General features: G+C 50.5%; 1 long non-coding RNA gene across 1 annotated transcript in view, besides 4 other annotated features; it reads left to right on the plus strand.

Annotated features, from left to right (window-relative positions):
- LINC02520 (long intergenic non-protein coding RNA 2520) overlaps positions 1–13,013 on the plus strand; it is a 28,933-nt gene extending 15,920 nt beyond the window's left edge. Inside the window, exons 2-4 of the long non-coding RNA NR_126057.1 lie at positions 11,009–11,078; positions 11,666–11,690; positions 12,265–13,013. This is a non-coding gene — a long non-coding RNA (long intergenic non-protein coding RNA 2520). The remainder of the gene's footprint in view (positions 1–11,008; positions 11,079–11,665; positions 11,691–12,264) is intronic.
- Positions 6,074–6,143: a silencer, noted in NCBI's record as "silent region_17141". NCBI's record gives its function as "represses an Ori minimal core promoter by ATAC-STARR-seq in GM12878 lymphoblastoid cells {active_cell/tissue: GM12878}" and the evidence as "EXISTENCE:reporter gene assay evidence [ECO:0000049][PMID:35858748]".
- Positions 12,703–12,982: an enhancer, noted in NCBI's record as "active region_24463". NCBI's record gives its function as "activates an Ori minimal core promoter by ATAC-STARR-seq in GM12878 lymphoblastoid cells {active_cell/tissue: GM12878}" and the evidence as "EXISTENCE:reporter gene assay evidence [ECO:0000049][PMID:35858748]".
- Positions 13,148–13,695: an enhancer, noted in NCBI's record as "H3K4me1 hESC enhancer chr6:37504191-37504738 (GRCh37/hg19 assembly coordinates)". NCBI's record gives its function as "activates a minimal SCP1, AML or CMV promoter by ChIP-STARR-seq in primed H9 embryonic stem cells {active_cell/tissue: H9 hESC(primed)}" and the evidence as "EXISTENCE:reporter gene assay evidence [ECO:0000049][PMID:30033119]".
- Positions 14,741–14,970: an enhancer, noted in NCBI's record as "active region_24464". NCBI's record gives its function as "activates an Ori minimal core promoter by ATAC-STARR-seq in GM12878 lymphoblastoid cells {active_cell/tissue: GM12878}" and the evidence as "EXISTENCE:reporter gene assay evidence [ECO:0000049][PMID:35858748]".

Below are 22,030 nucleotides of genomic sequence, written 5' to 3' on the forward strand. Positions count from 1 at the left end.
CGGGGGTGGTGGCTCAAGCCTGTACTTCCAGCACTTTGGGAGGCCAAGGTCAGGAGTTTGAGACCAGCCTGGCCAACATGGCAAAACCCTGTCTCTACTAAAAATACAAAAATTGGCTGGGAGTGATTGTGCGTGTCTGTAATCCAAGCTACTCAGGAGGCTGAGGCAGGAGAATCATCTGAACCCGGGAGGTAGAGGTTGCAGTGAGCCGAGATCACGCCACTGCCCCCTAGCCTGGGCAACACAGTGAGAGTCCGTCTCAAAAAAAAAAAAAAAAAAAAGAAACTGAGCAGAGACAGAAGTGGTCACGCCACTCAGGCAAGATTAAATTCTGAATGAGAACCTGGTTGGCTGCCTTCCTGTTGAGGGGAAGAGGAGGCCAGGGTTGGGTGGGCACCGCCACCAATCCAGATTCTAATTTAGTGAGTTTAAATGCACCTTTAAAATGCATACAGGCCCAAACAAAACTCATCTGTCATGGTTTTCAGGGTGAGAAAGATCCATCTATCCACCACCGATATGTATCTGAGTGTGTGTGTGGGGATGTGTGTGTGTGTGTGTGTGTGTGTGTGTGTGTGTATATATATATATTTTAAACGTATATTTTTTTCTTCCCCCAAAGTAAGTATCAATTCTCAGTGACTGTAAACAGGCCATATGAATGGTCTCAGGCATCCCAACTTCTGATTTCAACCATGCAGATAGGACTCTGAAATGACATTCCGCTATGGTTTGGGGCTGGTTCGTCATTGCTGATGTGTGTGTGTATGTGTGTATGTATGTGTGTGTGTGTGTGTGTGTTCTTGTGTGCGTGTTGGAATGGGTCAGTGAGAGGCACAGGTACCGGAAAGGTGGAAATAAAAATGGAGTCTTTCCACCTTCTGGGAGCTGCCATGGCCACAGAGTGAATGTGTGCGTCAGTTGTGGGTCTTGGAGGCTGGCCAGGGGAGAGGGAGCTTCGACTTGCCTGGAGTAGGGAGCTGCAGGGACCCCGCTTTGCAGGCCCCTGGACCCGCACCCCCCCTCCATACTGCAGCTTTGTCCCACCTGGGGAGGCTTGTTGCTAATCCCGCTGCCTGGTGAGTGCTAGGTCCGTGAGCGGCTGAGAGATATGTTTATTTCCTTTTAATATTGTTCAGGGTTCAATTTACCCAGTGGCATGTGAATAAATAAATAAGAAAACCAGACCTTTGACGGGGGAAATATGGAGCTTTCCTCCTATATTTCTGAGTAATATCTCAAAACTTTTGTGACTCATGAGGGCCCGCAGTGTTTGGCTAAGGAAAAGAAAAGAAAACATGGAAAAGAAAAACATCTCGTTTCCTATATTTGTCAACAGTTTTATAGCAAGTGGAGAATATTCCATATAATGTGGCCCCATGTACCATCTGTGCCGACACCAGGTTCCCCGAGGTCTGTGGCTGTGTCTGAACTCAGGGAAGTATAACCTGTATAATTGTATCTCTGTAAAGGGGACTGTTTTCTACTGCCCAGAACCCATTACCCACCAAATCTCCTGACACTAATCTCCTAGGCCTCGAAGATCTAGGCGTGGGGGTGGGGAGTTATTGCACAAAAATCTTTCAAATGCTCTGGCTCAGAACATCGCAGCAGTTAAGAAAAGAAAAAAAAAGGCAAATGAGGGAGAAGCTGTTACAGGCGAATGAGGTAGTCGGAGGCAAGAGCAGTGAGGTGAGGATGACAACTATACATTTGTCATCTGTGTACCTGTAAGACTTTGCTGAGACCCTACTGTGTGCAAGGCATTGAGCAAGGCATGAGGAGAGCAGAGCAGATAGCAATAACAGCAGCAACAATGCCATCATGGTAATAGTCATAATAAAGTGGCTACCTCCTAGGTACTTACTAGGAGCTGGTCGCGGTGCTAGACTGAGTGGCTCAGAGTTGAGCGGCTGAGCTTCTTGTTCTCAGGGAGTTTGCAATCTGGTGGAGGAGGAGGGATTGGGCTCAAGCGCCTGCTGAAAAATCCAAGGAGAGTTCTGGTCTTGAAGGATAGTTTAGACAACCTCAATTAGGGAATTTTTAGAAATTTTGAAATTCAGATTCTGATGAATGCTTGCAATTTCAACACTGTCTTTCTAAGGGACTAAGGGCCAAAGTGACCAGGAACACTGATAATTTAGGCTTTCATGGGGTAATCTGCCAAATTTATCACAGATGGGATGGGCAAAGGAGTGAGGAGAGGAGGGGGCTGGGGAAATATGACTGGGTGAAAAGGGGACATTCAGAGCTCAGAGAAAGGCGGGGGCAGGAAGAGAAGGGGGTGAGGAGACATCTGACCATGTGGCTGTGAAATGAATCAGGCCTGTGGCATGCAGATAACAGAGCTGGGGGATCCCAAGTCCCCCAGCCCAGGGTGCAGTTTTGGGAAAGGAACAGATGGGGGCAGTTGGCTGGCCAGGAGGCGGGTGCAGTGTTAACTGAGGTCTTCTGCATCCTGAAAGGAATCAGTGAAGGTGACTGAGAGTGAAATTGCTCCTTCAGTTGCAGGACAGAGTTTGAGGATGTGCTTCCCAAGGAGGGAGCAGGGAGAGGCAGGGGTCTGAGTGGAAACCAAGCGGTGGGTGGTGGGTGGAGGGAGATGGCGGGGAAATGCTGTCCTCAGGGGGCTCCCTGTCTCAGGCCTGAGTGGTGGATGACAATGAAGAGCCAGTTGGGGAGCTGTCCACACCTCGGGTGCTGAGATGAATTCCTAGAAATAGCCCTTTCTGGTCCATAGAAGTTGAGATCCTCCTACACAGTGGTTCTCAAAGCGCAGTCCCTGGGCCAGCAGCATCAGAACCAGCTAGAAACCTGCTAAAAATGCAAATTCTCAGGCCCACCCCAGGTTTACTGAATCAGAATCTGTGTGGCAGGTGGGGGGAGGTGGTGCACAGCAATCTTTTTTTGTTTTTTGGGTTTTTTTTTGAGACAGAGTCTTGCTCTGTCACAGGCTGGAGTACAGTGACATGATCTCTGCTCACTGCAACCTCCGCCTCCGGGGTTCAAGCAATTCTCCTGTCTCAGCCTCCCGAGTAGCTGGGACTACAGGTGCGCACCACCACGCCCGTCTAATTTTTGTATTTTTAGTAGAGACGGGGTTTCACCATATTGGTCAGGCTGGTCTTGAACTCCTGACCTCAGGTGATCTGCCCGCCTTGGCCTCCCAAAGTGCTGGGATTACAGGTGTGAGCCACCGTGCCCGGCCAGCAATCTGTTTTTAACAAGCCCTTCAGGAGATTCTGATGCCACTCACTTTGGAGAGCCACTGTTCTCAATAGCTCTTCCTGTCCCCAATCCCAGGGCCCCAGTCCTTCCTCTGCAGTGCACACCCTGCTCTGCCAGGCACTCAACCCCTGCTTCTGAAAGCACCAGAAGTTCGTTTTCTCATCCATGCTGAGCTCCACGAGGGAGGGCAATATCTTACTCAACTCTAAACTGCAAGTGCCCAGCACAGACCCTGGCACACAGTAGGTATGCAGGAAATCTTGTTAATAAGCAGATGGAAGGATGGATGGATGAATGCTAGAGCGGCAGCCAATGTGGTCTTTTAAAAACATAAATGAAATCAGGTCACTTTCTGGCTTAAAACTCTCCAAAGTCTCCCAGCATCTTTAGAATGAAATCCAACTCCTTATTATGGCTGATGGCCCTTGGCCTGGACCTTGTGGCCTCGTCACTCTAATTTATCCTGCTGTCCCCCTCAGCTGCTGTTCTTTGTCTCCCAAATACCCCCAAGTTCATTCCCGCCTCAAGCCTTTGCACACTGTACCCTCTTCCTGGAGTGCTCTTTACTCATATTGCCACACAATGGGCTTTTCTCCCTTTTCTCAGGGCTTGACACCTCTTCATAGAGGCCTTCCCTGACTACCCACCTAAAGCATCACCTCCCACCCTGTTCTATTGCCCTGTTGGTTGGGTCAGTTGTTTTCCTCTTCATGGCATGAGTACAGGTGCCAAAAGTGTACTGGGAGGGATGTCCCCCATTTCCATATGTCCCTCCCAATGTCCTTCCACAGAAAAGAAAAATAACCCTTCATATACACAACTGACATTGCCTCAATTTTTGAAAACCTTCCTGTATTTGGATTTTAAGTAGAATCATTGTGTGTACTTAGCAGACTCAGCTTTAAGATGAACTCCCTTCTAATCATCTCGTTGCCTCCGAGTCCCCTTTGGATAGGACTACTGGAACCGTCATGGACCAAGCCCCCTTAATCCTACCATGGTGGGAGTTATGGACCTGGGGTGAGAGATATTGGCCACTTGGAGAGGAAACCAGTTATGGGCCAAGACTAACATGTTCAGAGAAATGAGGGAAGGATGAGTGCTTTGAGACTGGAGTGCAAGTTGCATTCTGGTTAATCAGAGAAGGCATTTACAATGCACTAGGAAGATTTTGAAGGGATGAAGACAACTAAGATAACCATAATAATAGTTATCCTGTATAGTGCTTGACTCCATGCCAAGCACTGTTCTAAAAGCTTTGCTCATATTCATTTAATCATAAGAACCCTCTGAGATGGGTTCTGTTTTCACCCTCATTTTACAGGCATGGAAACTGAGGCACAGAGAGGTGAAGTAGCCTCTGCAAAGCTCCCCACTAGTAAGAGGTTGAGGCAGGATTCCAACCCAGGAAATCTGGTTTGACTCTTCCCCATCACCCTCTACGGCTTCTCGGATAAAGACATCAGCAGTACCCTAAGGTCTTTTCAGTTTCCCAAGCCTGTCCCCATACTCCAGCTGGCTCTCAGTGCCTCTGAGGTGGCCAGGGTAGGCGTTTCATCTCCGTTTCCTTTTTTTTGTTTTGTTTTGAGATGGAGTCTTGCTCTGTTGCCCAGGCTGGAGTGCAGTGGCATAATATCAGCTCACCGCAACCTCCGCCTCCTGGGTTCGAGTGATTCTCCTGCCTCAGCCTCCCAAGTAGCTGGGATTACAGGCACCTGCCACCACGTCCGGCTAATTTTTGTATTTTTAGTAGAGACAGGGTTTCATCATCTTGGCCAGGCTGGTCTTGAACTCCTGACCTTGTGATTCACCCACCTCGGCCTCCCAAAGTGCTGGGATTACAGGCATGAGCCACCGCGCCCAGCTCATCTCCGTTTTCTAGGTGAGGGTGCCAAAGCTGGTTAAGCAAACCACCCGAGGCTCCACAAAGAGGAAGAGGCAGAGTAGGGCACAAAGCCCTGCCACCAAGCCTGCCTGCCTGTAGGAAAGCCTTCGGGGTCCCTGTGCCCCAACCATAGAACCCGTGCCCTGGCCGCAGGAAAATAGAGGACATTTGGGGAATGACAGTGAAAAGCCGGCAGGCAGGCGGCGTCCTGCTGCTCTCCCCCAGCCCACTCTCTCCCAGCCGTAAGATATATATAGTGCCAATGGAGAAACAACACGATTCGGGTGTTTGTCTGTAGCCCCTTCTGCAGATCCATCACAGAGCAGTGCTTGGTGCAAGATTTTGCAAACAGCTTGAGATTACTGAATTAATTAGAATAAAATTAATCAAAACACCCACCACAAAGGAACCTGAGCGTGTGGAGTGTGACTTGGGTGAGGGAGGAGGCACAGCAGAGAGAGGGCATGGCAGGCTGGACTGGCTTCCTGCCTGGAGCCTGCTGGGGCAGGCCAAAAGCCTGAGGGGTGGGACCCAGATTCCTGCCCGCACTCCCACATGTTCCCCAGCCCCCGAGTCTGCACACTGGGTCTCTGTCCAGGCAGTACATTCTGTGGAGACTGAGCTTGGATCCTGGTGGGTGTTGGGCTGAGCCTTTAAGGAGGTGATGAATGGGAGGGGGGTCACCTGGCAGACAGTGCAACAGATTAGAGATCAGAAGACCCAGAACTCTGAGCATCATTATCCAGTTTTCCAGGATGGATAGTTTTGACTTTACTCACCTGCTTGTCCTTGTAAGTTGTACAAAACAGACCAGACATAAAGAGCATGAATCCCGGGCTAGACTGCCTGGGTTCAAAGCTTGGCTCTACTGCCTGCGAGCTATGTGACCTCAAGCACTGACTAGCTGTGTACTCTCTCCGAGTCCTGGTTTCCTCATTTGTCAAATGCAGGTGCTAATAGCACTTCCCTTATGAAAACTGGTATACAGCAGTTGCTATAAAGGTACAAGCTGTTATCATCACATCTAACCAGTCAAGGGGCCTTGTCCGTCTTCCTTCAACTTGTCTTCACATTTCCTTTTCCTTCCTGCTGCCGCTGTCTCAGTCAGGCCTTCATCACTCCATTCCTTCATCCCATAAACATTTATTTATTTATTTATTTATTTATTTATTTATTTATTTATTTACTGAGACGCAGTCTCGCTCTGTCACCCAGGCTGGAGTGCAGTGGCGCGATCTCGGCTCACTGCAAACTCCGCCTCCGGGGTTCACACCATTCTCCTGCCTCAGCCTCCCGAGTAGCTGGGACTACAGGTGCCCGCCACCAAGCCCGGCTAATTTTTTGTATTTTTAGTAGAGACGGGGTTTCACCATGTTAGCCAGGATGGTCTTGATCTCTTGACCTCGTGATCCGCCCACCTTGGCCTCCCAAAGTGCTGGGATTACAGGCATGAGCCACCGCGCCCAGCCCCATAAACATTTATTAAGCTCCCACGATGTGCCTGACACTAGACCAGAGCTTGGGGATGAAAAGCTAAAACCCAGCCCCTGCCTTTGCGGGGATCAGAGTTCAGGGGATGCTTCACAGAGAGCTTTGAGTCGCAGTTCTTGGGGCATGCAAGTCTGGGAAAGGCATTCCAAGCAGGGGGAACGGCATGTACAAAGCATTGCCACCAGAGTGAGTATCCTAAAACCTGAATTTGATCAAGTCACGTAAGTTATGTCCTGGTTCAAGAACCTGGAATCAGCCCTGTTAGCTCACTGTAGTCAATATTGTAGTCAATATAAAGCCCTTTGCTTGGGTTTCAGGCCTCCCAAAATCTGCCTTCCAACACCCTCCTTCAACTGGGGGGCTTAGTGCCAATCTCCTCTCCTGTAAAATGATAGAGTTATCATGGAACTTAAATGGTTATGTGTATACAGCAGGTGCTTGGTAAGTGAGCCCCTCCTCCCCTGCCAACACTCACTAAGGCTGCTTGGTCTGGTTCTCTTTGTTTCAAGTTGTGCAGGAGGCAGCCCCACGCAGAGTTTAGAGCGCTGGTCCTGGAGTGGACAGAGTGATTTCTCATCCTGGCTTTTCCTCCAATGCAGGACTCCTGTGCCTTTTCCAAGGGATCCTCCCTTTATTTCTGCATCTGCAAAACGAAATGTGGAATTTCTCAATAGGGTACTGTGGACAAGTTGGGGGAAGGAATATCCCATGCAGGGTACAACAATTTAGCATCCCAGCAGCCCCACCTCTCCCAAACATCCCAGCAGCCCCACCTCTCCCAAACATCGAGGCAACCACCCCTCGTATTTCCAGCCCCACCCTCCCTGCCCCTTTCATGATCCTTTCCAGCTCTTACCTTCTAGCAATCGCCGACTCCTTGATTCTCGGTCTAATGCCTCCAGGGGACTCTGCTTTGTGCAACCCCTAACCCCTAAACTAGAGGAGTTTGGGGCATACATAAGGCAGGAAGCAGGAAGCCAGTGGATAGACTCCTGGTGGGAGCAGGGAGAGCCCAGGTTCACATTTGGCTCTGCCACTTACCACTGGCTGTGTGACTCTAGGAAAGCTACTTAACCTCTCCGAGCTCCAACACTAGGCTCACCTGTAAAATGAGTGGTGATGGTAAAAGTACCCACCTCATAGTGCTATGGTGAAGGTTAAATAAGATAATAAATGTAAAGCACAGACCCTAGTATGTCATGAAATAATAAAAGGTTTGTTGGTTCTTCCTGGGCAAAATTGAACTCTCTCAATTTTCTCATCAAATAAGGATAATAGTGCTACCCCCCCAGGAATGTAGTGAGACCAAAGTCGATGATGCACACCCATGCCTGGCATGCAGTTGGGTCTCAGCGCAGCACATAACCGGGGGGAGTGTAAATGATTCAGCACCTTGGGAGGTCCGTTTGTCATATCTTTTAAAATTACAAATGTGCATTCCTCTTGTCCCAATAATTCTATCTCTAGCTATTTTTCCTATAGTTTTATTTCCAAGTGTGTAAAATAACTTATGTACAAGATTTATATTAGTACATGATTGGAAATAACTCAAATTTCCATTCACTGAGAACTAGTTAAACCAATTATGGGACATAAATACACTGGAATACTATATAGCTTTAAAAAGGAATTAGGAAGTTCTTTCTGTACCCACACAGAAAGATCTCCAAGACACTTTGTTCTAGAGAAAAAGAAGAATGTGTTTGGAATGACTGCATTTATGTGCCTGTCTGTGCATAGAGTATCTCTGGAAGGACTCATAGCAGATCAGTGACAGCAGCTGTTGTCTTCAGAGAGGGAAGCTGGGGCACAGGAAAAGAGGAAGGCTTTTGTGGATTTGGAACCATGTGCATATAAAAGCTACTGATATGTATAAAGCCAGGAACTGTAATAAGGCCAGGTCTGAAGTGAGCTCTCTGCGCTGAGGGGATGATGTGAGGCTTGGCTCCCCAAGTCTCAGGCATATGGCCTGTTGCTCTTGCCATCAGCACACACTTGCAGGGGCTGAGAGTGGGGCTCAGCTGGGGACCAGGAAGTGCTGTACCCCTTTGGGGCAGGCAGCAGCTCGGTCCAACCCTGGCACGTTGGGAGGCCACTTTCCCTCAAGGGTTTCCACATGTTTGCACGTAAACTGCGGCTGTGGTACCAAGTGCCTGACTGCTCTGCCTGGGACCATGCCACCCAAGGGTTCTATGAGTGTGACTGGAAAAGGAGAAAATATCACAGATGGCCCTAGCCCTGTGCCTCTGCTCTCTGCCTGGAGCAAAGGAGCTGCTGCTGTACCTCTGAAGGAATGAGGTTTCCATTTCTGAAGCAGGATCCAGCCCCTCAGAGGGAAAAGAGGGAGACAGATGGAGATGTAGAGTCTGTGGCATCAGACAGACATGGCTTCAAATCCCAGCTGGGCCACTCACCTGCCATGTGGTCTTGGGCAAGGCATTTACCCTCCATTGGCCTCAGTTTCCACATCTGTAACATGGGCACAATCACACTCACTTCTCAGGTGGTTGTGAAGAGCGAAGGTAGGCTAGACACAGTGGTTCATCCCTGTAATCCCAGCACTTTGGAGGCCGAGGCAGGAGGATTACTTGAGGCCAGGAGTTCGAGAACAACCTGAGCAACATAGTAACACCCCACCTCTACAAAAAATTGTAGCCAAACGTGGTGGCTCATGTCTAGTTCTAGCTACTTGAGGGGCTGAGGTGGAAGGATCTCTTGAGTCCAGGAATTGAAGGCTGTAGTGAGCTGTGACTGCATCACTGCACTCCAGCCTGGGTGACAAAGTGAGATGCTGTCTCGGAAAAAAAAGAAAAAGAAAAAGAAGAACAAAGGTACATTTGTGAAGTGCATTAGCACAGAGTAATAACCGAGGGAAGGATTTGGGTGCAAGCAGTTTATTGGAGAGTGATCCTGAGGAGCACTGGGTGGGGAAGGCAGGGGCAGGAGGGAAGACAATGAAAGGTGTGTGAATGAGCAGTTAGCCTCCTGGGTACAGGGCTCAATCCTGCTGAACCTCTGCGAGGCTGTGCAGAACAAGCCTCAGAGCTATCTCAGAGGGACCACTGGGGTATTTATATGCCAACTCCCTACAGTCATCAGGTTGAGGGCTGCTCTGAGCCATTTACACTCCTTGCACTTTCAGCCTGCGTGGAGCTCAGGGCAAGGACACTGGAGTGATGGGGTAGGGGTGTGGAATCAAAGAAACCTATCAGGCAGGGCACAGAACCACAGGTGCTTGGAGTCCAAGAGCCAGGCATGGGACTAGTGAGTGCCAGGGGTGTAAAGACGGAGCACTGATATCCCTGCCACAAGTTCTTTGACATGTGCCAGGCACTGTTTTAAGCCCTTTAAAAATGTTAACTCACTTAATTCTTACTACAACACAATGAGGTGAATGAAGACAGAGACATAGAAAAGTGGAGAAACTTGCCCAAGTTTACCCACCTAGAAGAAGGAGTCGAGATTTTAACCAAGGAAGTCTGGTTTATTGGGTCTAACGGGACTTAGAGACCATGTAGGTCAATACCTTCATTTCATGGTGAGGAAATCAAAGACCAGAGAGGGCAAGCAATTTATCTAAAGTCACACAGCTAGCTAGCGACAGGACTAGGACTTGAACTTAGATCTCTGTTCCTTCCTTGACACGCCCCCTGCTTAGCCTTAGCCTTTTCTCCTCTGGGTTGCCAGACTCAGGTGGGGCTGGGGTGTGGGAGGTGGCTTTCTGCAGAGCACTGGGTGCTGCAGTGCGGAAGCCAGGAGGCCATTAATCGGCCGGGAAGGCGGGCATAGCACAATCAGATTATGATCTTTAAGATGCATGCTTTGAATCTCAAAATCAGCAAAAGAATCAGGCCCCAGAGGAGGCGTGTGTCGTCTGTCCCTGCTTTTTAACCCCAGGCTGGCATCAAAGAGGAAAAGATGAGCTGGGCTCACTAGGGTGTGAAATTTCCTTTTTGTCTCCTGGGGTGGGGAGGGAGAGATGAGAAATTGCGCTGCATCTCATGTGTAATTATAGGCTCTAGAATTTCTTGAGGATTATGTTGCTCAAAGAGACTCAGTGGGCTCTGTGTGGTATTGCTGGGCCCCGGTGGACATGCCTCTCAGTAAACTAAGGGAGACTAGGAGCGGTGTGTGTGTGTGTGTGTGTGTGTGTGTGTGTGTGTGCGCGCGCGCATGTGTGTGGACGAATGCAAGGAGAAAGCACAACTGACAAAATGTAAATTAACTCTTGCAGCTTCATATTTTTCAGAAAAATCAGAGCAGGGGCTGGCTGTCTTCACCCAGAGATAAACTTCTAGAATCTTTGCCCTTGAGTTACCAAGAGGTGTCCTTGCCAGACTCTTGGCATGTTGCTGCGGACATGTCTGGCGAGACAAAGGTGACCGACTTGTTCCCGTTTTCTAGGTACTGCCCAGTTTTAGCAATGAAAGTCCCACGTCACGGGAAACCTCTGAGTCCTGGACAAATCAAGATGGTAAGTCACCCTAGGTATGACCCTTCAGACCCTACCCTGGCCAAGCCTGGACCAAGAGAAGCCAGCTGTGTCAGAAGACTGGGCTGGCAGTGGCTGGATAAGGTCACAGGCAAGTGCAGGCCATCCAGCCAGGTTCCAAATCCATCTCTAATTCTCATCTTGGGATCCCCTGCCTTTATCTGACTGCTCCCTCAAGTAGGGTCACACCCCAGTCAGGGGCCGTTCCTGCTCTGGGAAGGGGGTGGTCCATTATTCCCTCATGGGTCTGGTTGGTCTGGCTGGCAGAGCTGTGTGCCTGGGGTGAGGAGAGGGCAGGACCAGTGCTGAGGCCAAGCTATAAGTGCTGTGCAACTTGGGAAAGTCCTTTTCCTTCTCTGGGCCTCAGTTTCATAAGCGGTTGCGCTGAGAAATTGCTGTTTTTTTTTTTTTTTTTGGGAGGGGGAAGATTTATGTTTAAATTATGCAAGTAATACAATTGTTAAAAAAATTTAACAGTACATAATGTAAGATGAGAGGTTAAAGTCCCTTTCTGCTTCTCCTTATCCTGTGGGACAACCATTGCTAACAGTCTCTTTTTATCTTTCCAGACATTTTCTATGCATATGCAAGCATGTGAGTATATATAGCCTTTATTTAAAATGTAACACAAATGAGACTATACTTTACATGCTATTCTGCAACTTGCCTTTTCTGTTTAACAATATATCCTGGACATCTTTCCATGTCCCCATACACATAAATCTCCCTCGTTCTTGCTGCAGAATGTTCTGCGGGAAGGATGCACTCTGGTTTGTTTAACTAGAACTGCTGGTTTCCAAGGTCCCTACTAGCTCAGAGCCCACCACCCAGGCAAAAAGAAAAGCTGGAGGGGGCTGTGGAACAGGGCTGGGGAATATCAGCAGATTCTCAGACTAGGAAGGCTGGGTGTCTGCCCCAGCTCTTCAATGAGAGACGTAAAATGATTTAGAGATGGGTGAGGAGGAACCAGTAACTCCTGGGTCCGGGAAATTAGGCATGGGGTGGGGGCAGGGGCTTCTAAAGATACACGGAACACCCTGCCTGGCACCGAGGTAGGGCCGCAGACGCAAGGCTCTCTGCTAATGCAATGTGACGGGCCTGCAGCCCCTAGTAAGTTTTTCCATTTCTTTGTCTTTCCTGAGAGAGGCTCATGATTATCGCCTTCTAGGTCACCAGGAGCAGAGCACAGAGGGACAACACAGCTTTTGCGCTTCCAGCTGGCTCCCATCAAGAAGTTAGAAGGGAGCCTGCAAACACATTTCCTGCTATCATCTCTCCACCCCAGAATGACTTTCCCTGGTAGAGCTGGGGGAGGGGAGGCGGGCAGCAGGCCCCCCAGGAGGCCCTGGGCAGGAATATTAATACTCCAACTTCCCAGCACAAGAGGAGGGAGGAGGAGCGGCCACGGCGCAGTCCGGTCCTGGGGGCCCTGGAAGGTGGTTGCTGAGCAGCCCGTGGGAGGCACGGATCCGCCAGCTCACGGCGGCAGGGGCCGCCCAAGTCCTAATGAAAACACCTAGCTCCTGGCAGGGCGCAGCCGACACATCGCCCTGCCTTCTCGGCCACCTGGGAGAGGATGGGCGCCGCACGCGGATACCCAACCTGCCGGGTTGTGCTCGCAGTGACATCGCTTTTCTCCCGGCAAGTGCATCCATCTCGCTGGGTCTGGATAGATAACACAATCTCTCTGCCCACACCCCATTTGCTGGGAGACAGCCTGGGCTTCTCCATTTTTTATGGGCTCACTTAGCTTGGAGGAAATCCAGAGGTCAAAGCCGGCGCAGACGCTCCAGTCACCTTGCCCGTCCGGGCGCGCAGCCATTCCGAAACGGGCTCACCCACGGGGCCCTAAATTACGGCGATTACACTGCAATTCGCAGCGCGATATTACTTTGATACACTACCTGCTGCAGCTTGGCCCGGGAGGCGTGCATTATTTACCAGGGAGGCTGTCCGTACTGCGCACCAGAGCTGACAGCGCTCCGCGGGGTCCCTCCTGTCCCTACAGCCCCGCCTTCGCCCGCGGTGCGGGGTCTGGAGGCAGTGGGGCGGGGGCAGGGGGTCACTGGAGCAGCCCCGCTCTCTCGGAGTGACCGTTTCCTGAACGCAATATAGCCCGGAGAGGACCCAGTGGCGGAAGCGGCAGCTGGCGATGAGGTTGGGGGTTAGTAGGTGGGAACAAGTGCTGAGCCCGCAGCTCCTCCTGGCTCTTAAGGACACCCAGACCCTCCTTAGCCGGCCTATAAGGGCCCTTGTTGCGCGCGCGCAGGGACCCACACAGGGCCTGCCCAGGGGTGCAAGGCTGGTCCCTGGCCCCTGGCCAACTGTTAAAACGGCTAGCAGCCGGCTAACCCCACCGGCAGGCTCCAGGATTTAGCCTGTGGCGGCTGGTGGCGGAGATGGAGGGAACTCAGGCTACCCTCTTCCTCGGGCCCTGGAAGCTGCGTGCGCCTCAGCTGAGGCCTGATTTCGCCGTGGCTGGGGGCTGGGGCCGGAGTTGGGCCCGGCTTCTCTCCGGCTCCCCCATTACGGTTTGGCATCAGCATCTAGATTGCAGGTTACTTCTGCTTTTATCCAAAGCGGTCCTTAAGGGAGATGGAGTTCTGATTGAAATCCAGTCAATTGGCGCCGTGGCTCAGAGGGCCCAGCGTGAGCACACTTGTAGGGAAATTGCCCTGGGTCTGAGAGGAGGGGCAGGGGTGGGGGAGGGAACAGGACCCGCAGGCCTGCTCTGGAGCCTGTGAACGCGCTGCTGCGAGGACTTTAGCGGATGCGCTCAGGTCGGTATCCGCGGGAGTCCTGGAGGGAAATCCGCTCTCCTTCTCCAGCTCCCTGGGATTGATGGAACCAGAAACCTCAAGCAAGGGATCCCCAGAGGTCACTGCGTCCAGTCTCCAGCCTCAGACAGTGTCTGGGTAGTGGAGGAGGGGCCGAGTCTGTGGGACCGAGCTGTCTGCTTTGGTGGGTGAAGGAGGGTGGACTTCTGGGGTCTGGGTTGAGATGTGGATTAGTTCCAGGACTAGTTCCTGTTACTCGTAGGCGGGGAGAGGTCATGGTCCCTGCTGAACACATCTGGCTGTGTTCAGTCCTGAACTGCCCTGGGCTCCTCAGCAGTGTGCACAGGGGTCTGGCCTCCAAATTTCTTGTTAACAGCCCATCAGGAGCTGGAGGAGCTGGCCTGGCCTTCAAGGTGTGGAGGGGTTCCTGGAAGGAAGCAGATGGGCACACGGAGGAGAAGAATGACAAATCCATGCTTCCCCAATGCTGGGGAGAGAATATGGTGGTGGGGAGGAAGCATGGAGACCAGAAGCATTCCCGGGAATGCTTCTGGAAGTATCCCAGAAATGTCAAGAGCTCATTCTGCCAGCTCTTCCGGGGCCAGCAAAGAACATACATATCATTTCTCCATCCACTTTGGGACCTGCCTGAGATGAACATATGTTTTAAAAGGAATCCCAATTGCTGCAGGAGCAGATGGTGCTACAGGGGCAGGCAAGGGCAGGAGAAAGGATACTGGCTGGCAGTAGGGTAGGAGTCCTGGGCTCTGCCTCGCCCCTTCCTCTTACCAGCCGTGTGAGCTGTGTGGCTGCGGGCAAGTCACTCCCCGGCTCTGTGCTGCCCCATTTTCCTTGTGAAGAATGAGTGGGTCCCCTGTAGCATGCAGGATGAGCTGAGGCCTCACTCCCCTGCGGTGGAGAGGACAGAACACTCTCTCCATCAGCAGGGAAGACAGATTTTCCTATTTATTAGCCTGTTCAGCTGGCAGACACAGGGACTGTCCTCTAGGCCATGGGGTGGGGAAGAGGGGGACAGAGCCCCACACCAGCCCCCGCTGTGTCCATCCTCTGCCTGTGGCTGTTTGCCTGATTGATTTGTTTGGTGGCCTCCCTGGCTGGGATTGGGTCCCTGTGTCCTCCTGCACATTTGCCTCTGGTCCCTCTCTGTGTGGTCAGGAGGGGGAGCTCTAGGTGTAGGGGCGGAAGAGACTGGAACATCTATCCATCACGGACTGACTCTTGGGCTTGGTAAGGATCCTAACAACCACCGGGTCCACCTGCCACCTTGTGCTCCGGGCCCCTCCCCAGAAGCTCCCCCTGCAGTGGGAGGCTCACTGCCTCTCGCTGAGCCACTCCCAGAAAGTTCACCCTTTTCTGGATCCCAAGTCGAGTCCCTTGTGTCATCTCTCATTCATCCTAGCTCTTCTTGTTGGCCTAGGTGTGAACTCCATGCCTACAGGACCACCCTTCAGATATTTCAGGGCAGCGATCTTGTTCATCCCCTACTCCACCTTCTTGGGGCAAAACCTGCCTAGTATCCTCCCTGCTGCTTCCCAGTCCCCTCACACTCTAGCTCTGACAAGAAGTGATTGAGCTTCCAGTCAGATGTCAGAGGCCCTGGTCTCCAGGGAGCTTCTAGTCTGGGAGATAGTCTTCCTAGGACCTAAAGAATGAATAACAAAATCACACAGGCATTTGGGACTGTTGGATTTCCAACTGGTATGGCTGCTGGTCTGGAAACCTCCTCAGAGGTGAGTGGGTTTAGTCGTCTTCCATGTAGAGAAGTCTTCCTGTTCTCTCTGAAACAGCTATGCTCCCCCTCCTCAGAGACTGTGGGACTACTGGGTGCTCCGATGGCGCTGGTGCCTGCTCCGGAGAGAAGTGGGAGAGAATACTTTCCAGTTCTTCCCACCTCCATCCCCATCCATCCTGGTGTGGGTACCACAGAAACCTGAGGTCCAGGGGGAAGCTTTCCACAGTGGGACCACCTCAGTGTCTTCGGTCCCCAGGGCACCTACTTTTTCTCCTGACTTCCAGAAGATGTTCCCAGAGGGGCTGGTCTACGCTGCAAGAGTGGGCCCGCCACATCTAGGCCTCCACCCCGCCCCCAGCTCTTAATTTATTATTAACTCTGGAACTGACTTTGAAATTATGGAAGGCCATGTTGTTTCTTTCCTCTGCATCTCTTATGGTCCCCAAGGGGAGGCGAGCTGAGAGTGCCAGATACACAAATATGCAGCGAAAACCCTGTGGATTTTTGGTTCTAGCAAGGGGAAGGAAATTAGCTGTAATAAGCTGCTGTCGCCTCACTGGAAAGCCTCCAGCACAGACCCTCGGAGGGGCTCCTGGGCCCCCTTCCTCTGCTCTCCCCACTTCCCGGCTGCATGGCTGAAGATCTCTGTCTTCAGCTTCCCCTGCAGGGGAGTGGCCTCCTCCCCACCCAGTCCTGTGACATCACTGATGGAGATGATCAATATCCCGGGCCTGTGAGGAGGAGGAGGAGGAGGAGACTGCAGGCACACAGAGAAGTGGTCTCTGGCCTCTTCCCAAGCCATTAGCTTGAATGGTGGTAGGAGAGGCAGGTGGGAGTCAATTTCCATTCTCCTAGAATTACTGGAAGGCAGAGGGTTATTTGGAAGTTTCTGAAAGGTGTGAGGTATTCATTGGCCCTCACACAAAAGGATCAGTAGGCTCTGGTCTTTCCTTTTTCCTCTCCTGAGGAGAGCCAAGGGCTAAAACCCTTAAGTGACTACCCCACAGCAACAGCTGCACTTAGGCAGAAAATAGCCTGGGCTGTGACTGGAGCCCTGGAAGGAACTAGTTCTAGCCCTTTGCTGGCTAACTTGGCCCATCCTGATCTGGCATTGGGCTTCTCTCTGGCTTCTAATGCAAAGAACATAACTCAATCAAATGGCAGATATGATGTTAAGCATTCATTGAATTGAGTGGTTAAGTTCCCCCATAACTTGCTGTGTGACCTCTGGTGAGTCACCTAACCTCTCTGGGCTTCACATACTTTATATGTAAAAGGAGAGCAGGAGTGAGATGAGTGCACCATTTCTAAGACCCAGGAGTAATCATGCTGGGACACATGTTTTATAACCGTGGCCCAAACGCTCTTTCCTTCATGTCCACCAGCCAAAATGTTGGGCCTCACTTGCCGGTAATGCTATTACATGGAAGGTTTTACGGCCAACAGGACAGTCATGAGCTTTCACTACTAATAATTATCTTTGTGATTTAAAATTTTAGCAATAAGATGGATTCTTACCAATATTACTATGTATTAGTCTGTTTTCACATTGCTGTAAAGAACTACCTGACACTAGGCAGTTAATAAAGAGAAGAGGTTTCATTGACTCACAGTTCAGCGGGCTGTATAGGAAACATGGCTGGGAGGCCTCAGGAAGGTGCATGGGAAGCAAGCACCTCTTTACATGGTGGCAGGAGAGAAAGGGCAAAGGGGAAGTGCCACACACTTTTAACCAACCAGATCTCATGAGCCAGCACTAGGGGGATGGTACTAAACCACTAGAAACCACCCTCATGATCCAATCACCTCCCACCAGGCCCCACCTCCAACACTCGGGATCACGTTTCAACATGAGATTTGGGTGGGGACACAGAGCCAAACCATACCATACCGTATATTTTTACTTTTTAAAAAACTTCCTAAGATTTTTCCCTTGGAGAGACAACAGGCTGTAAGAGTGAAGAGTGTGAGCCCAGGAGTCTGTCTGCCTGGATTTGAATCCTGGCTCTGCCACCTACCAGCTTTGTTATCTTGAGGGTGTCCCTTCACTTCTCTGTGCCTCCGTGTCCTCATCTATAAAGTGAGAAAAATGGCTGGGCGTGGCGGTTCAGGCCTGTAATCCCAGCGCTTTGAGAGGCTGAGACGGGTGGATCACCTGAAGTCAGTTCGAGACCAGCTTGGCCAACATAGTGAAACCCCGTCTCTCCTAAAAATACTGTAGTCCCAGCTACGGGAAGCTGAGGCAGGAGAATTGCTTAAGCCCAGGAGGTGGAGGTTGCAAGGAGCCGAGATTGCGCCACTGCACACCAGCCTGGCTGACAGAGATTCCATCTCAACAACAACAACGACAACAAAAAGCAGCGGGGAAAATAATACAACACAAAGCTGCTGTGGTCTGAAGGGCTTAAAACAGTACCTGGTGCATAGTTAGTGCAAGCTTACTGAGTGTTGAGTGTTATTACTGTCAATGATAATAATAGAATGCCTTTGAACCCTTCTCAGGAGAAGCAGCCTTTTTATTTCCTCATGTTGGCCCCTGCATCTTTGCTAGAGTGATCAATTAGACACATATACTTTCTGAAATTCTGAGGGCACCCAGTGGGATGATCTTTAAGGTATACTTCCAGCCAGAATGTTGGGGGCGGTGTGTGTGTGTGTGTGTGTGTGTGTGTGTGTTTCTGGCTAATAGTATACACTGGTTAACTGAGAATAGCCCATTCCTTTTAGTTTCGTTCTCCTACAGTTGAACATTGATTAGAAATGCACAAATCCTGTCCCTTGCCTTAGCGGAGTTATTAGTATTCCTTTCTGAGGAGGCCATAAGGTATTATCGGCAGGCACCATAGGTAGGCTGTGAGAAGGGCGAGTCAGTTCTGCCTCTTCCCCTGGCTTCCACATCTGTAAAATGGGGGCAATAACACTTAGAGGGCGTGGGGGCTTTCCATCCTCACAAGGAGATCTCAGGTGAGATGATGGCTCCAAGATAACTTTTTAAACTGTAACATGCCGGTCACCCAAAATGGCATATCCTCCTTACCACAGAGCCTCTGCACCCTGGGAACCCTTTTTCAGGACAAGGTGTCACCTTATCCCAGGTCCCTGGGGGGGAGGCCCAGGAGGTAAAGGATTAGGATATTGTTTTGTTCCTTGCATTCTTTTCTGATCTTGTTTTATCTTAAAAGTTAAAACAAAGATCCAGTTAATGGATAGTCCCATGAATTCAGACTTCAGAGGTCGGGTGTGCCTGTGTGTATTGTGGCTTCCCCATGGGCCCGGCTTTGACCAATGCCTTTGTAACAAGCATCTTAGTTCCCAGAGCTCATGTCTGCACAACACTGCACACTTTGTGGATGTAGACATTCATTCGTTTGACAAATATTTATGGAGAAACTGCCAAATGCTGTTCTAGGCACTGGGGAGATAGCCATGAGTGACACAAGGTCCCTGCCCTCGTGGAGCCCATGCCGAGAGGGAGAGAGACTGACAACAAATAGGAAGATACATAAAAAGGATTTTTTTTTTCATGATGATGAGTGCCTTGAAAAAAAGAAACCGGGGGAGTGTGATAGAAAGTGACTTGAAGGGCAAGTGTCCTTCCTTAGGTGTGGTCGGGACAGGACAGATTCTGCTGAATGGGCCACTTTATGTAACAGAGATAGTCCCAAGTCCTTTCTCTTTAATAGAAGTACTACTGCTACCATGCATAAGGACAATGACAGTAATTAACAGTTACTACTTGCTGATGCCACACCCTGTTCTGAATGGTTAGAAGAATCGAATCCTGGCCAGGTGCAGTGCCTCATGCCTGTAATCCCAGCACTTTGGGAGATGGAGGCAGGAAGATCTCCTGAGGCCAGGAATTTGAGACCAGCTTGGGCAACTTAGTGAGACCCAATCTCTAAAAAAAAACTTTAAAAAATTTAGTCAGAAGTGGTGGTGCACACCTGTAGTCCCAGCTACTTGGGAAGCTGAGGTGGGAGGATCCCTTGAGCCCAAGAGTTCGAGGCTGCCGTGAGCCGTGAACGCACCACTGCACTCCAGCCTGGGTGATGGGGAAAGACTCTGCCTCAAAATAAACCACAAAAAGGAATCAAATCCCCCCAACAACCCAGGTGGAGGGTATCATTATTATCCCCACTGTACCAGTGAGGAAACTGAGGCACAGAGAGGTTAAGCAACAATGCACAGCTAACAATGAATGAAACTGGAATTGGAGTGTCCTGATCAGTTTGAGAATATTGGTGCTTTGGGGGTCTATTGTAGGAGTGTTTAACTGCCATTTGAATAGTTGTGCTCCATTAAGTATTCTTCATTCAATTTGACCCATTTTTTAAATGAATTTGGTAATTTGTAAGTTTTATCTCATTTGAGTGAAGAGGGCTTCCTTTGGGAGTTGGGAGGCGGGTGGTTCAGGAAGGTTTGTAGCTTCCAGGATGGTAAAGGTAGAGAAATCTTGAAGTTGTGGAATAGGAGAGCTGCAAAGGCTCCATTTGGGCCTGGTCACTTACTGTGTAGATTGAAACAGAGGGCCCAGAGAGGGACTAGAGTCACCCAAAGCCACATGCCACACGCACTGTGGCCCCCTTCCCTCCAGCCTTCTGCACATTTTGAAGAGCATGTCAGATTCTATTAAGAGTAACCAAGCGCAGTGCTCCAACATGGTTTCGGTCTATTTATCCAGGGACACCACAGCTTTGGAGGCAGCAAACATGCCCATTTGTTACTATTTGCAAAGATGGTGTACACCAAACATGGGCTTTCCGTAAACAAATTAAAAAGTAATAAAGTGGCCCCATCTGCATACTAGAGCAATGTGCTTCCATTTTAATGAAGCTTGCTATAGAAAAGCCATTTGATGGCTTGTCAAAAGCGTGAATGCCTGTGGCTGAACGTGGAAGTATGCTGTGGTGCAAAGACGTAGTCCTTTCTTCCTCCAGTATGCACGGGGCACCTGCCACACCTGCTGCAAGGACCTGGTCCTGCCCCTAGGCCATCTGCTACGCCAAGGAGACCCTGTGTGTGCATACAATACAGTTAAATATCAAGGTCAGTCATCACAAGAGGGTTCACGGGCCAAATGAACAGTAATAATAGCAATACTATTTAATCAGCGCTGGCTGATATCAGTGCTGGAGATCTTCTGTTTGCTCCTCGAAATCCACTCTCCCCCCTCTTCTGCCCTGCACTGTGCCCCGGGAGGCTGACTCAGGATTGCATCCTGGGACCTTCTCTGGGTGGTGTTACCCAATGATGGGAGACTGGAGGGAGGAAGGTGAGTGAGGTTGGGGTAGATATTTTGGGATGGCACTGGCTGCCTCCTCAATGTCCATGGTACCTGTCATGGCCCCTTGCCTATAGCATAGTTTTGTTTTTTTTTTGAGACAGAGTCTCACTGTGTCGCCCAGGCTAAAGTGCAGTGGCACAATCTCGACTCACTGCAACCTCCAGCTCCCAGGTTCAAGTGATTCTCCCACCTCAGCCTCCCGAGTTACAGGTGCCTGCCACCATGCTCAGCTGATTTTTGTATTTTCAGTATCGACAGGGCTTCACCAGCTTGGCCAGGCTGGTCTTGAACTCCTGAACTCAAGTGATCCACCCACCTCAGCCTCCCAAAGTGCTGGGATTACAGGCGTGAGCCACCGCGCCTGGTCTACAGCATAATTTTGTCTCTGGGTTCCTTTGACCACTCCCTCCCCTTTCCTCTCTATCCTTCCTATGGATGGCTAGCTCCCCATCCTGGTTGGCCCAGGTGTTCTGCACTGTTCCTTGTTGCTTTCCTCAACCCAGCCCACACCTATGCAAACGACCCCTTTGGTAAATGCCTGAACAGTTCGAATGACCCATCTGTTTCCTGCCAGGACCCAGGTTAACACAGACTGCCTGAGCCAAGCCTTCACAGAAGTGTTCTCCATCCTCAAAACAACTCTCTGAGGGAGGGGATATTATCAGCCCCATTGGTGGATGAGGAAACTGAGGTTTAACTTGCCCAAGGTCGAGGAAGTGGCAGAATTTGAACCCAGTTCTGTCTGGCAACAGAGAGAAGCTCTTAATCACTGCCTTGCCTGCTGGAGAGGAAGAGTGACTCCAGTCCTGGGTACCTTCAGGCACCTCCAGGAAGGGGATGGCCCATCTGTTTGGCAGTCATTGATTAACAAACATTTATTGAGCACCTATTATGAGCCAGGCACGTGCTAGATGCTAGGATTTAGAGATAAAAGGTAGCTCCCCTTCCTCTGGAGGAGCCTACAGCTTAGACTCCCAGCTTTGCTAGCATGCATGTTAGCATGACCTGGGGAATGAAAAGGAATCAATGCCCTGCTGCCCCACCACCAGCCAATTGAACCAGGGTCTCTGGTGGTGGAGCCTGGGCATTCCTGAATGAGTGACAAGGTTGAGGGCTTGAG

The sequence above is a fragment of the Homo sapiens genome, chromosome 6, assembly GCF_000001405.40.
Source record: "Homo sapiens chromosome 6, GRCh38.p14 Primary Assembly".
NCBI classification, from domain to species: Eukaryota; Metazoa; Chordata; class Mammalia; order Primates; family Hominidae; genus Homo; species Homo sapiens.